This window comes from Homo sapiens, chromosome 8 (genome assembly GCF_000001405.40).
Source record: "Homo sapiens chromosome 8, GRCh38.p14 Primary Assembly".
NCBI classification, from domain to species: domain Eukaryota; kingdom Metazoa; phylum Chordata; class Mammalia; order Primates; family Hominidae; genus Homo; species Homo sapiens.
The window spans coordinates 54258439-54272842 of record NC_000008.11 but is presented as its reverse complement, the minus strand read 5'-3'; the positions used below and the strand labels follow the sequence as shown (position 1 = coordinate 54272842).

At 43.9% G+C, this 14404-nt stretch overlaps 2 annotated features.

The window, feature by feature from the left end:
- Positions 3622-4484: an enhancer, noted in NCBI's record as "NANOG-H3K27ac-H3K4me1 hESC enhancer chr8:55180919-55181781 (GRCh37/hg19 assembly coordinates)". NCBI's record gives its function as "activates a minimal SCP1, AML or CMV promoter by ChIP-STARR-seq in naive H9 embryonic stem cells {active_cell/tissue: H9 hESC(naive)}" and the evidence as "EXISTENCE:reporter gene assay evidence [ECO:0000049][PMID:30033119]".
- Positions 10901-11400: an enhancer, noted in NCBI's record as "H3K4me1 hESC enhancer chr8:55174003-55174502 (GRCh37/hg19 assembly coordinates)". NCBI's record gives its function as "activates a minimal SCP1, AML or CMV promoter by ChIP-STARR-seq in naive H9 embryonic stem cells {active_cell/tissue: H9 hESC(naive)}" and the evidence as "EXISTENCE:reporter gene assay evidence [ECO:0000049][PMID:30033119]".

The window sequence follows — 14404 nt, the reverse complement described above, 5'->3', positions numbered from 1 at the left end:
GGTTTAAGCAGAGCAACGGCATGAAAATACTTACATTCCAAGGAAATTACTCAGGAGGCAGTTGGAGGCAAAGGAGAAAATTGGAATAAGTGATGGTGGAGACATGAGATAAGGTAACAGCAAAGAGAATGGAAGACTAGATACATCTGGGAAATATTTATCACAAGGAAGTGGAAATGAGGAATCAACAAGACTTGGTGATGGATTGAATGGGAACAGCGAGGAAAAGACCAAGGGTAACTTCTAGGTATCTGGCTTGAACCACTTTATTAAGAGAAAGGCCGGGCACCGTGGCTCACACCTGTAATCCCAGCACTTTGGGAGGCCGAGGCAGATGGATAACCTGAGGTCAGGAGTTCGAGACCAGCCTGGCCAACATGGTGCAACCCCGTCTCTACTAAAAATACAAAAATTAGCCAGGCGTGGTGGCAGGCACCTGTAATCCTAGCTAATCAGGAGACTGAGGCAGGAGAATTGCTTGAACCCGGGAGGCAGAGGTTGCAGTGAGCCGAGATTGCACCACTGCACTCCAGCCTGGGCGACAAGAGCAAAACTCCGTCTCAAAAATAAAAAAATTGAAAAAAAGAGAGAAGGAGCCCACCGAGAAGAGAATGGACTGGAAAGGAAGACATGAACATAGGTTGGGACCTGTGGAGTTTGAAGAACCTATTTAACACCCAAATAATGATATCCAACAAACAACAGAGGTTGGGATCTGGGTTTCAGGAAAGAAATTCAGGCTGCAAATGTAAAGATGGAGACCTTCAGCATATAGAGGCCACAGGTAGTTTCTGGGAAGAAGATTCCGAGATGGAGGTTGTTGTCCATGGAGAAGCTCTTAGGGTCAACACGTGGGAAAATGAAGGAAGCCAGCTCAGGCACGTGAAGAAGCTGAACCATGATCCAGTCACAACAAAGGCTTCCCCTGATCTCAAAGGGAGCTTTGTGGGTGGAGATGGCCCTTCAGAATTGACCTGAATTGAGGTGAGAAATTGGGCCTTCAAACAGGTCATGGGATGTGGCTTCCCTTGGGAAGGGCCATGACCTTGGGCCAGGAGTTTGTCTTACACTGAGAGCCAGAAAGGGACTCAACTGAGAGGGGTTCCTACAGACTCTTTTCCCCCGGCACTGTCCATCACAGAGACAATTTAAAGAGCTTGGGCTTGAAGTAGATGACCCTCCCCGCTCCCAGAGACTGTGTAGCCTGCAGAGACCCCAGGAAGGGCAGAAGAGAAAGTTTGCAGGGATGTGCAGTGGAAGACAGGCTTCTGAGGAGGCTGAAAAGAGTTTATTGAGAGTTCAGAGGACCAGCAGTGTTCAGGGGCCACTGAGAGAGAGATTCAGCCAAAAAGGAGTGAATTAATACCCAAGTTAAATGCCACAGGAGTGTAGCAAGGGAAGAAGGAAAAGTGTACCATGAATTTGGCAAGAAAGAGGTCATTATTCAATTCCAAGGAGTGGAGAAGCCTCTGAGTTGAGGCTTAGATAAGAGAAGTGAAGACAGCATGCAGCAGGGGTAGAGAGGAACAGGAGAGGGATTCTTGTTGTTTTTTTTTTAAGTTGGGAAAAACTTAATCATGCTTAAATCCTAATGGATAGAGGGGGCAATTGACATTATAGCAAAATATAACTTCTTCTTTTTTTTTTTTTTTTTTTTGTGACAGAGTTTCACTCTTGTTGCCCAGGCTGGAGCGCAATGGCACAATCTCGGCTCACTGCAACCTCTGCCTCCTGGGTTCAAGCGATTCACCTGCCTCAGCCTCCCGAGTAGCTGGGATTACAGGCATGCGCCACCATGCCCTGCTAATTTTGTATTTTTAGTAGAGACAGGGTTTCTCCATGTTGGTCAGGCTGGTCTCGAACTCCCAACCTCAGGTGATCCTCTCGCCTCGGCCTCCCAAAGTGCTGGGATTACAGGCATGAGCCACCGTGCCAGGCCAACTTCTTTTAAACAAAAAAGAGAGACAGAGAGAGACAGGATCTCACTCTATCACCCAGGCTGGAGGGCAGTGGCATGATCATAGCTCATGGCAACCTCAAGCGATCCTCCCACCTCAGCCTCCTGAGTAGCTGGGACTACAGCTGCATGCCACCACGCCCAGCTAATTTTTTGTAGAGATGTGGTCTTGGTATGTTGCCCAGGCTGGTCTTGAACTCCTGGGCTCAAGCAATCCTCATGTCTGGGCCTCTGAAAGTGCTGGGATTACAGGCATGAGCTACCACACTCAAACAAATATAACTTTTACAAGACTAAAATCTAATTTTACTTATGATAGAAAGCTTCTCCTATTATGGACCAAGAAAGGAGAAGAGTAAAAGAACTCAAGAGACTGCAGCATGAAAACAATTTGCATTTTAAAAGATACAAACTAGAGGAAGCCTTTGAGGAGGATTTGGACTGGCAAAGACGAAAGGCTGGAGAGTCTCACGAGGTAGGCGCTTCAAGATGGGCAGCAGGTGGAGGCAGCCAGAGTGTCATCATGCACAGTGGTGACCTGCTCACTGCCCCCTGCTCACCTGTCTTCTCTTCTATCTCTGTAAATCCATAATTAAAATTTTAAAACCTACTAATTTTATAATGTATGGCTCCAGTTACAAGAATGTTTTCTAGGAGACTTAACTTTGATTTCATGTATTTATTTAGAGACAAGTTCTACTATGTTGCCCAGGCTGGTCTCAAACTCCTGGACTCGAGTGATCCACCTGCCATGGCCTTTCAAAGTGCTGGGATTACAGGCTTGAGCCACTGCACCCAGCCAACTCCCTGTCTCCCAAGAAGTGAAAAGAGTTTCCAAAGAGAAAAATCAAACGTGAACAATTTATTCAAAAATGGATAAGATATCTCTAAAATTCACTGTCAGTAAAAATTTTCTTTCTATTTTTACTAAATTATAGAAGCAGAGGCTGGGCCTGGTAATCCCAGCACTTTGGGAGGCTGAGGCAGGAGGATCACGTGAGCTCAGGAATTTGAGACTAGCCTGGGCAACATGGTATAACCCCATCTCTACAAAACATACAAAAATTAGCCAGGCGTGGTGGCCTGCACCTGCAGTCTCAGCTACTCGGGAAGCTGAGGTAGGAGGATTGCTTGAGCCAGGGAGGTCAAGGTTGCAGTGAGCCATGATTGCACCAATGCACTCCAGCCTGGGAAACAGAGCAAGAACCTGTCTCAATAATAATAATGATAATGATAATAATAATAGAAGCAGGGGGAGTTGCACTATTCAGTGATTCCCAAGAGTTATTTGGCAGACAAATGTAACTGCATTTCTTCTCCACTTAAACCAGTCCTATTAACATTTGTGGGAAATGTGAAATACCTCTATTTAAGAGTAATTTCAGGACTTAGTTTCAAAATAACAACTTTTGACTTACAACTGAGTTTAGGAGGCCCATCAGCTTCTAGGGGCTCAGCTAGCAAAACAAATGACATCTAAGTGTGGATAAGATGGAGTTGATGAGAAGTACAAAGGCTCTGAAAAATGAAACTTTCTCCCCATTTCCTACACATACACACACTCAACATGACAGCAATTCTTATAGCAAATGCCCAATCCCTACACTGCTAAGAAACATCTCACTGAGGCCAACTAAATCAGGCCAAAAGCAAACACCCAACTTCCAAGATGGCGGAGGTCCACTCTGTGTGGGGTGGGAGGCCCGGGCTCCCTCTCTGGCCAGCAGTGGTGACCATGCCTCACAGAGTGTTGAGTGCCAGGCAACGGGACACAGCAGGAAACCACTGTAGCTGGAACAGATGGAGCAGTTTCCACAGAGCAACCGCTGAAACCAGTCACACAGTGAGTCATGTTCCCTGGGATCATTTCTCAAGTTCTGTATTTCAGTAGCTCACATTTCTTAACATTCTGAGTTCGCCAGTTTGCCAGGCATTGAGGACTGAGAGTGGGAGAAACCAGGGCCCCTGTGGGCTGTCGTCCTGGACATTGGTGCCACAATCCCTAAGAATGATGAATTTGGATTTCTCTAAAGGCAGAGCCAGAAAAAAAATTTCAGTTCTTCCCCTATGGTCAAACACCTTAGGCAGTGAAATCAGGCAGAGACTTGAAATTTAGCAAAGTGACCTTGGAGGCTTTGAACAGAAGTCTTAAATGATTAATATTAGTCTGGGTGACCCAAAATAGACCTGGTGTTTCCTCAACCCAAAATAGAGGGAACCAGGTTAGGGACATCTTGGTTGAGGAAACAAACAGGTTTCCTCTTAGGCATTCTACACCTGCTTGGAATCAAGGAAAACCCAGTGTCCTCTCTAGCCAGCCTCTTCCACTTTGCCCAGATTCAAGCCTAATCCCCTCATTGTCAAACTCCATTAGCAGGATTTAAGAAGTCTGCCACCCTTTACTGAGAGGAGACTGCTCTTTGCAATTGCCTTATACAAAACAAGGCCTCCAGAAATGTGTGGTCTGAGACCCTGCCCCATATCTCATCCTGAAAGGGCCTCTTATCCTGCCTTCATCACTAGCTCATGGGTGTGAATGTGAAGTGCTTTGTCTTTGGCAGTGGAGGGTCCTTCCGGAGACTCAAGGCTGGGTGATAGATGCAAAACAAACTAACTAGAAGCCAGAAATTTGCATCTGAGTGGGCCCTCACTGGGAGCACCTTCCCAGTGTTGGGGACATTTTTGGAGTTGGGGGCGGTGGCAGGACTCATAGCTTGCAGATTTGAAACCATCCAAACAGCCTCCTTTCATGTAGCATCTTATCAACTTAGCATATTTGAAATTTGACTTCTGAGTGAATGAAAATAAACCAGGCACTAAAAGTCACTGATTACCAAGAGAGGCAACAACACAGAGTCAGCATCGCTTTGGAATGCTCAACTGTGCACTGACCCCCGAGATGCAGGCGACACTGCCCAAACTGTGAAGCCAAACAAAAGCTTGAAATTAATTATGAGAGAACTATCCAAAATAACAGAAATTTGTGTCAACCTTGTGGAGGTGATAGAGTGAGGTGATTGAGAGCAGGACTCCCAGGCTGTGTGCAGTGACATGTCACTTCCTCACTCTAGGCCACAGTTCCCCATCTATCAAATAAGAATAATAATAGTGCCTAGCTTTGTTGGAAGATGAATTAGGTGACTATATACTAAGCGCTTAGAAGCAAGCCTGGCATTCTGTATGTGAGGTATTATTTCCGGTTTCTCAGCGTGTGGCTTTTGACTACCTAAGAAATCAATCTATGACAGGTACACAACACACCTTATGCCTGTGTTCTCAGCCAGCCCAGGACTCAGGCTAACACATACCTGGAACCAGAAATCTACATCCAACAAATCAGCATGAAATGTATATCTGCCTCCGATTCTCTATTCAAAAATGCATACAGATTATATAGGATTTTTATAACCTTTTATATTTTGGTTTGGCTATTTAATTCTGTAATAAATCATGCAGACCTAAAAATCTTTTTTTTTTTTTTTTTTTTGAGACTGCGTCTCCCTCTGTCGCCCAGGCTGGAGTGCAGTGGCACCATCTCGGCTCACTCCAACCTCTGCCTCCCAGGTTCAAGCAATTCTCCTGCCTCACCCTCCGGTGTAGTTGGGATTACAGACGTGCACCACCACACTCAGCTAATTTGGGGATTTTTAGTAGAGACGGGGTTTTGCCATGTTGGACTGGCTGGTCTTGAACTCCTGACCTCAGGTGATTCGCCCGCCTCGGCCTTCCAAATTGCTGGGATTACAGGAGTGAGCCACCACGCCCGGTCTAAAAATCTTTTTACTTTTACATCTTGGTGATGATAAATGGCAAACCAGAAATCACTTTTGAAAGTACAGGAAAATTTTAACAATTGCATTAAAGCACAGAGTAAAAATATGTTAATAAATTTTACTCATATAGTCTAAATTTGGACAGGACACTGTGGAGGAGGGAAGGTGTTCATTCCAAATAACTTCCAGGAACTTTAAAATTCCTGCGATTGTTTTCTTCTTAGGTGAAGAATTTAATGAACACCTGAAGATCAGTGGGATCTAGGAAAATGTGTAATTCAGCTAGAATACAGAAGACCCAAGTTCTAGTTCTGGCTTCATCACTAATTTGATGTCTTAAGACAAGTTACTGGCTGTTTTGTGTGTCAATCTCTCCATCTATCAAATGGGGATGAAACACATATGGTTAAGTAATTCTGAGAATTTAAAAATGGTTAAATGGTTGTAAAAATTAAAGGTTTAAGTGACCATAAGACATGTCATTATGTTATTCTCCACTAATAAAACAGATTCGGTCACTTTTTTTTTTTGAGACCTGCATCTCCCTCTGTCACCCAGACTGGAGTGCAATGGTGTGATTACGGCTCACTGCAGCCTTGACCTCCTGTGCTCGTGATTCTCCCACCTCAGCCTCCCAAGTAACTGGAACCACAGGTATGCACCACCACACCTGGCTAATTTGTATTTTTTGTAGAGACAGGATTTCGCCATGTTGCCCAAGCTGGTCTCGAACTCCTGGGCTCAAGTGATCCGCCGCCTTAGCCTCCCAAAGTGCTGGGAGATTACAGGCATGAGCCGTCACATCTGGCCTCAGTCACCCTTTTTAGTTATTCTCATAGAAAAATAATCATGCTTTTGCAAAATTTCAAGCAAAACAGAACTTTTAAAATAGGATGTTTTTCCAGCATCCTATTTGGAATGTTGTCCTACCCTCCCCTCTCCCCAGCAGCTATAATTGTTAATAGTATTCTGCTATCCTGAAATCTCTTAGATTGCAAATCTATTTAGCTTACGAAAGCAAAAATCCAAGATACCATATAAACTGCATCTGCTCATTTCTACCTACTGAAAAAGAAAAGAACCGGATAGCCAACTCACACTTTTTCAGGAACCTTACAATATCCGAGAATAAAAATGTTTTTCTTAAGAGTAGGAGGCACCCTTTTAGATAATCCAACAATTTCCAGGCAGGGGCTTGAAGGAAAGGCAGGAGCTATCTGGATACACAAGTGTCTAAAATATAAATGAGCAACTTAACCATTTTTTAGAAAACAAAAACCCTGAAACTACCATTTAGGTCAGTAGACAGAATCTTGCACCCATCTCAGAAGCTCTTTGTCTGCCTCTTCCCAATCACAAACCCCTCCTTGCCCTCCAAAATAACCAATATTTTGACTTTAATGGTAATGACTTCGTAGCATTTCTTTGTAGTTTTACCAGCAAAGTCTTCAACCTAGCATTATAGCTTAGTTACAACTGCCATGAAACTTTATATGAATGAAGTCGTATGACAAATAGTCTTGTATCTGACATCTTTTGCTCAACATTGCCTGTGTGAGGTTCGTTCAGGCTGTTGGATGTAGCCCTATTCATTCTCATTTCAAGAGCATATTCCATCTTATAAATATAACATATCCCATCTTATAAATTTATTCATCCATTCTAGTGTTGAAAGGCATTTGGGTTGTTTCTAACTAGGCAATTATAAAAGTAATGCTGTGGCCAGGCGAGGTGGCTCACACCTGTAATCCCAGCACTTTGGGAGGCTGAGGCAGGCAGATTGCCTGAGCTCAGGAGTACGAGACCAGCCTGGCCAACGTGGTGAAACCCCATTTCTACGAAAAATACAAAAAATTAGCCAGGTGTGGTGGTGCGTGCCTGTTGTTACAGCTACTCAGGAGGCTGAGAAAGGAAAATCGCTTGAACTCAGTAGGTGGAGGTTGCCGTGAACCAAGATCACACCATTGCACTCCAGCCTGGGTGACAGAGTGAGACTCCGTCTCAAAAAAAAAAACGAAAAAAAAAGTAATGCTGCAATGAACATGCACACATCACCTGGGGAACACACCACTCAGTTCCTTTGATTACACACCCAGCAGCAGAATTCCTGGGTCATGAGGAAGGCGCATCCTGAAGTGTAATAATTCCTGCCACAGAGTCTTCCACAGCACATTCTCAGACAGTGTCCATTGTCCTTGCCAAAACTTGATGTTGCTGGGTTTTTTTTCCCCTCTCTCTGGTGAGGGTGTAGAGTATCTCACCACTGTGGTGTGATTGGCAGGCACTGCTTCATATGCTTATTGGACAGCTGGACTCCCTCTTTTGTGAAATACCTTTTCAACTTCTCTTGCCTATGACACTGAGTTGTCTTCCCTATTTTGTTGATTTATTGTTCTTTTTTTTTTTTTTTTTTGAGACAGAGTTTCACTCTGTAGCCCAGGCTGGAGTGCAGTGGCATGATCTCGGCTCACTGCAACCTCCACCTCCCAGGTTCAAGCATTTCTCCTGCCTCAGCCTCCTGAGCAGCTGGGATTACAGGAGTGTGACACCATACCTGGCTAATTTTTATAGTTTTAGTAGAGAGAGGGTTTCACCCTGTTGGCCAGGCTGGTCTCAAACTCCTGATCTCAGGTGATCTGCCCACCTCGGCCTCCCAAAGTGCTGGGATTATAGGCGTGAGCCACCACACCTGGCCTGATTTATTGTTCTTTACATGTCTTAAACATACTGCTTTGTCTGTTAAATTTCACTTTAAAATTGGCTTTCTTGGGGAGGTAATATAGTATGATTTCATTTAGAAATTAAATTTCCTCAGGCCTTACACCAAAATAAGCTCCAAATGGATAAGAAATACAAATGTAGGAAATGCAATAATACAAAACACTTAAACTGGTGAATTCCTTTATAAACTAGATGTAGGGCAGCCTTTAAACCATGTCTCATAAAAAAATCAAAAAGCAATAACAGTAAAGTTTCATGAATTTGACGTCGTAAAAATTTTAAAACTTTTCCATAATAATGATGACAACAAATCCCCACAAGGAATATTACCAGGCAATGACAACCTAGGAGAGAGTATGTGCAGTTTATATCCCAGATAAAGGGATAATCTCTCTGATTTACAATGCACTTTAAATATCGAGGGGAAAAGTTAAAAGTTTATAGAAAAAAGACAAGAATAGCAGTTCACAGAGAAAGATAATGGCACTTGACCATATTAAAATACGCTCAAGCTGGGTGCAGTGGCTCATGCCTGTAATCACAGCACTCTGGGAGGCCAAGGCAAGCAGATCACTTGAGGCTCAGAGTTTGAGACCAGCCTAGCTAACATGGCAAAACCCCGTCTCTACAAAAAGTACAAAAATTAGCCGGGTGTGGTGGCGCACACCTATAGTCCCAGCTACTAGAGAGGCTGAGATGGGAGGATCACTTGAGCCCAGGAGGTCGAGGCTGCAGTGAGCCAATATTGCACGGCTGCATTACAGCCTGAGTGACACAGCAAGACTCTGTCTCAAAAAAATAAAAATAAAACATGCTCAACTTAATTCATAAGTAAAATGCACCCTGAGATTCCATGTCTAACCTATCACATTCCTAAAAACTTTAAGTTTGAAAATGCACTGTCTTTGTAAGCATACGGAAAGATAAGCCTGCTATTAAATTGAGGGTGGGAGTAGAAAACAGCACTAACCATATAAAAGGGAATTTTGCAATATCTAACAAAATTATACACTTTGACCAGCACGCCCAATTCCATTAATAGGTTATTTATAAAGCTTAAAAGTGGCACCCTGGCCGGGAGCAGTGGCTCACGCCTGTAATCCCAGCACTTTAGGAAGTGAGGTGGGCAGATCACCTGAGGTCAGGAGTTCAAGACCACTCTGGCTAACATGGTGAAACCCCATCTCTACTAAAAATACAAAAATTAGCCAGGCGTAGTGGCAGGTGCCTGTAATCCCAGCTACTTGGGAGGCTGAGAGAGGAGAATCACTTGAACCCGGGAGGCAGAGGTTGCAGTGAGCTGAGATGGAGCCACTGCACTCCAGCCTGGGTGACAGAGTGTGACCCTGTCTCAAAAAAAAAGGGTGGGGCACCCTACAAATCTCCCTATTAATGCAATAGGGAAATTTTGTCTTCACTATAGAGTGATTGACAGTGACAGCTTTAACGAAGTGAAAAAAATTCACTGTCATGGGACAGCTTCACATTATGTGCCACTTGGTGTGATGCACCTATGAAGAATACTTGCCAAAATATTTAACCCTGAATTTATTCAAAAAGAAATGATCAGACAAATCAAAAATCCAGAATATGGAATATTCTACAGGATAGCTGCTCTAGACCCTCAAAAATTCAACGCAAGGAAAACCCAAGGGAGAGGGAACTGCTCTAGATTAAAAAATAGTTGTCGGCTGGGCACGGTGGCTCATGCTTGTAATCCCAGCACTTTGGGAGGCTGAGGTGGGCAGATAACCTGAGGTCAGGAGTTTAAGACCAGCCTGGCCAACATGGCGAAACCCCGTCTCTACTAAAAATACAAACATTAGCCAGGCCTGGTGATGGGCACCTGTAGTCCCAGCTACTTGGGAGGCTGAGGCAGGAGAATCACTTGAACCCAGGAGGCGGAGGTTGCAGTGAGCTGAGATGGCACCACTGCACTCCAGCCTGGGTGACAGAGCAGGATTCTGTCTCAAAAATAAAATAATAATAATAATAATAAATAATTGTCATGTGTGTATGCCGTATTACTTGAGAATGTTGATCTATTATAGACACAAGAAAGCACCTAAGGAGGGTAGAGAAAGTAACTGAAGAAGGAAGAAGCTTGTGCAGCCCAGGAAGAATCCATAAGAGATGCCAAGTAAGATAAATAAGTTAGTAACCTCTGAGAACATGCCTGAAGACTAAATGCAGCCCAAATGTGCACAGATAGAAAAAGATGGAAACCCCAAAAGCACTGGATGTTCCTGCTAAATATACAGAAGGGGTACATCAGGCACCCAATATCCATCAGGTCTTAAATTCGGCCCTTCATTGGTGATGTTCATCCCTAGGCTAACTGCGCATCTGGCTAACTGGCCAGCCTCCGCTGTTGCCAGAGCAGTTTGGCCCAGGTCTCTCTGGAAATCTCCCACTGTGGTGCCTGCTGGCTGAAACCCCATTTCTGATCCACACCATCAGCCAGAAAGGTGAAGCCTGACCCAGGACTCAGGTGGTGTGTCACCTTGTTGTTTGTGGTATGTTTTAATTGACTAAACCAGGTGACTCGAGCATCTTACATTGGCTGTGAGCCTTTCTGTTGCAAAATCACAGAGAACTTGGCTCATGTAGGTGGTCACTACAGTCTCATTAGTAAATTTTCCAGGCAACATGACTTAAGAGAAGGTACAGCCACAGGTAATGGGTAAACTTTGATTGGGTTCTGAATTGGAAAAAAATAGCAGCTTGAAAGGACATTTGGAAGACAAGTGAAGAATTTAAAATATGAATCATAGATTAGATAAGATTGTGGAATGAATGTTTCTTCTCTCAGATGTAATGATATTGGGGATGGGCGCGGTGGCTCACCCATGTAATCCCAGCACTTTGGGAGGCCAAGGCAGGCAGATCGCCTGAGGTCAGGAGTTTGAGGCCAGCCTGGCCAACATGGTGAAACCTCGTCTCTACTAAAAATACAAAAATCAGCCAGGCGCGGTGGCGGGCGCCTGTAATCCTAGCTACTCAGGAGGCTGAGGCAGGAGAATCGCTTGAACCCAGGAGGTAGAGGTTGCAGTGAGCCAAGATCGTGCCACTGCACTCCAGCCTGGGCAACAGAGCAAGACTCCGTCTCAAAAAAAAAATGGTATTGGGATTTGCAGGAAATGGACTCATTTCTAGGACACGAATGCTGAAACATTTAGGAGTATGGGAGAGGGAGAGAGAGCAAATGTAACAGGGCATTAACAACTGGCGAATCTGTGTAAGGGGTATACGGATGTTCATTGTATCACTCATGAAAACTTTCATGTAATTTATGGCTTTCAAAATTAATTTGTAGAAACTGGCCAGGCACGGTGGCTCATGCCTGTAATCCCAGCACTTTGGGAGGCTGAGGCAGGAGGATCACAAGGTCACAAGTTCGAGACCAGCCTGACCAACATGGCGAAACCCCAGCTCTACTAAAAATACAAAACTTAGCTGGGCATGGTGGCTTGCGCCTGTAATCCCAGCTCCTCAGGAGGCTGAGGCAGGAGAATCGCTTGAATCCAGGAGGCAGAGGTTGCAGTGAGCCGAGATTGAGCCACTGCACTCCAGCCTGGGTGACAGAGCAAGCTCCGTCTCAAAAAATAATAATAATAATAGTAATAATTTGTAGAAACTGTCATCCCAAGGTTTGCGTCCTTCAACCATTCTACCCATGGTTTGTCTTGAGTAAATCTCTAGTTAAGTCTAAACATCTAAGCACTTCTCTTTCTTTCTAATTTCCTGTCCCTTGTGAGAAGTAAAATTTCGGTAATGGCATATTTATGTATAGCTGGGATTAATTCAAGTAGCATCTTTATATATAAGTTCATGGCTTTGGTTTCTCACAAGCTATTCATCAGAAATTTCCCATAGTTTGGAAAATAATGGATTTATTTGCCAAAGTTGAGCTTTCTTATTTTGATGTTACTCAGTCATTATTATGTCTACAATAGCAATTGGTTCATTTACAAGATTAGAAAATCTTGAAGTCCTTCACTAAATAAGTCTGGCTTACTTTTAGGAAATGTAAAGTGAAAAATGGATCAAAAGACTACTTGAAGTGCTCCCAAAAGAGGCATAGAAGCTAGAGTACTGTATAAATTCTTTTACTTTATTGGGGCACTGTTGCATCAACCATAGTTCCAAGAAATTAAAACTTTAGAAATTAGAAATTTAACATATAGAAGGTGTGTTGCTGTTAGACTTTGCTGGTATTCTGGCAGCTACAGTTAAGGAACACCTGATAAGTATCATACCACAAGATTTACCAAGCCAAGTGTTGCTCAATGCTGGCAGGGAGACATTGTATGAAAATGTAATGCTAACAGCACTGGGCAGGTCCATTGTTCAGCCCCAGCTGTAACACAGTGGAGAAGCAAACAGCAGGATCAGAGAGCTTTGGAAATGAAATCAAGTGCACAATAGCTGTGAAGATAGGAAAAGTCACAGGAATACATCAGAAAGAAAGAGAGATGATTTCTAGCTCTGGGGAGAAATAAGATGGCTTATTTTTTGAAGTAAGTCTATACTTACTTTGAGTAATTCAAGAGTTGCTAACAGTGGAATGGCTTTTCATGCCCTCTGTTTTAAATTTAATGATTTTAAATGCAATTATTTTAATAGGTAATACTTGCACATAGAACAAAGTTTGAAAGAAAGAGCAAGATAAACTGCGAAAAGTCAGTTTCTTTCCTTTTTTTTTTTTTTTTTTCATTGAGACAGGGAGTTTCGCTCTTTTCACCCAGGCTGGAGTGCAATGGCACGATCTCAGCTCACTGCAACCTCCACCTCCAGGGTTCAAGTGATTCTCCTGCCTCAGCCTCCCCAGTAGCTGGGATTACAGGGGCCCACCACCACACCCAGCTAATTTTTGTATTTTTAGCGGAGAAAGGGTTTTGCCATGTAGGCCAGGCTGGTCACGAACTCCTGACTTCAGGTGATCCACCCACCTTGATCTCCCAAAGTGCTGGGTTACAGGCGTGAGCCACCACACCCAGCTGTTTCTTTCTTCTTTCACCTATCCAAACCCACAGTTCACACGGCTAGGAAGGCAAAAATATGTTTACATCTTTGTAAGTCCTTTGTAAAGTTAAGGAAATTGCCCTTATACATCCTTGCCCTCTCCTCCTCCCTCGGGCCCTATCTGTCTGCCTAAGATCCTCTCTCTCCCTTCCTTTCTCCCTCTCCCTCCTCCTCCCCAACACCTGCCCTAGTGAGTGCGTCTCAACTGAAGCTCCCTCTGGCTCCTCTCCAGCGTACTGAGACCCACTGAGATAAATTAAGGAAGGTGCCAACATTTGTTGAAGTAAGAAAAGGGCTAGGGATAATGCGCATAGTACGTAAAATACACCATGACTAATTTCTTCACAGGTCCTAAGATTTAATCCAAAATCAGGTCGCCCATGGAAGGAGAATAAGACTGAAAATTGTAGACTCTATTTTTAAAGGCTGGGAGGCCTGAAAACCCTTACTCTCCTGGTAAAAAAAACTTTTGGACCCCTTAAGCCTTCAAAAATCAGGTTTTTGTGACATTTTCCTTATTCCCTATGATATATGCATTTTTGTAAGAATTTTGTTCACCCCCAATTGTATTCATTGTATTCCTTTAAATTGCATTCTTTTAAAATGGAAAAATGTAGCTTTCTGATTAAAAGAAGAAGGAAAAATAAAAAGAAAGTTGTCAGCTGGGTGCGGTGGCTCAGGCCTGTAATCCCAGTACTTTGGGAGGCCGCGTCAGGTGGATCATTTGAGGTCAGGAGTTCAAGACCAGCCTGGCCAACATGATGAAACCCCATCTCTACTAGAAATGCAAAAATTAGCCGGGTGTGGTGGCACACGCCTATATTCCCAGCTGCTCAGGAGGCTGAGGCAGGAGAACCACTTGAGCCTGGGAGGCGGAGGTTGTGGTGAGCCGACATCACGCCACTGCACTCCAGTCTGGGCAAGAGAG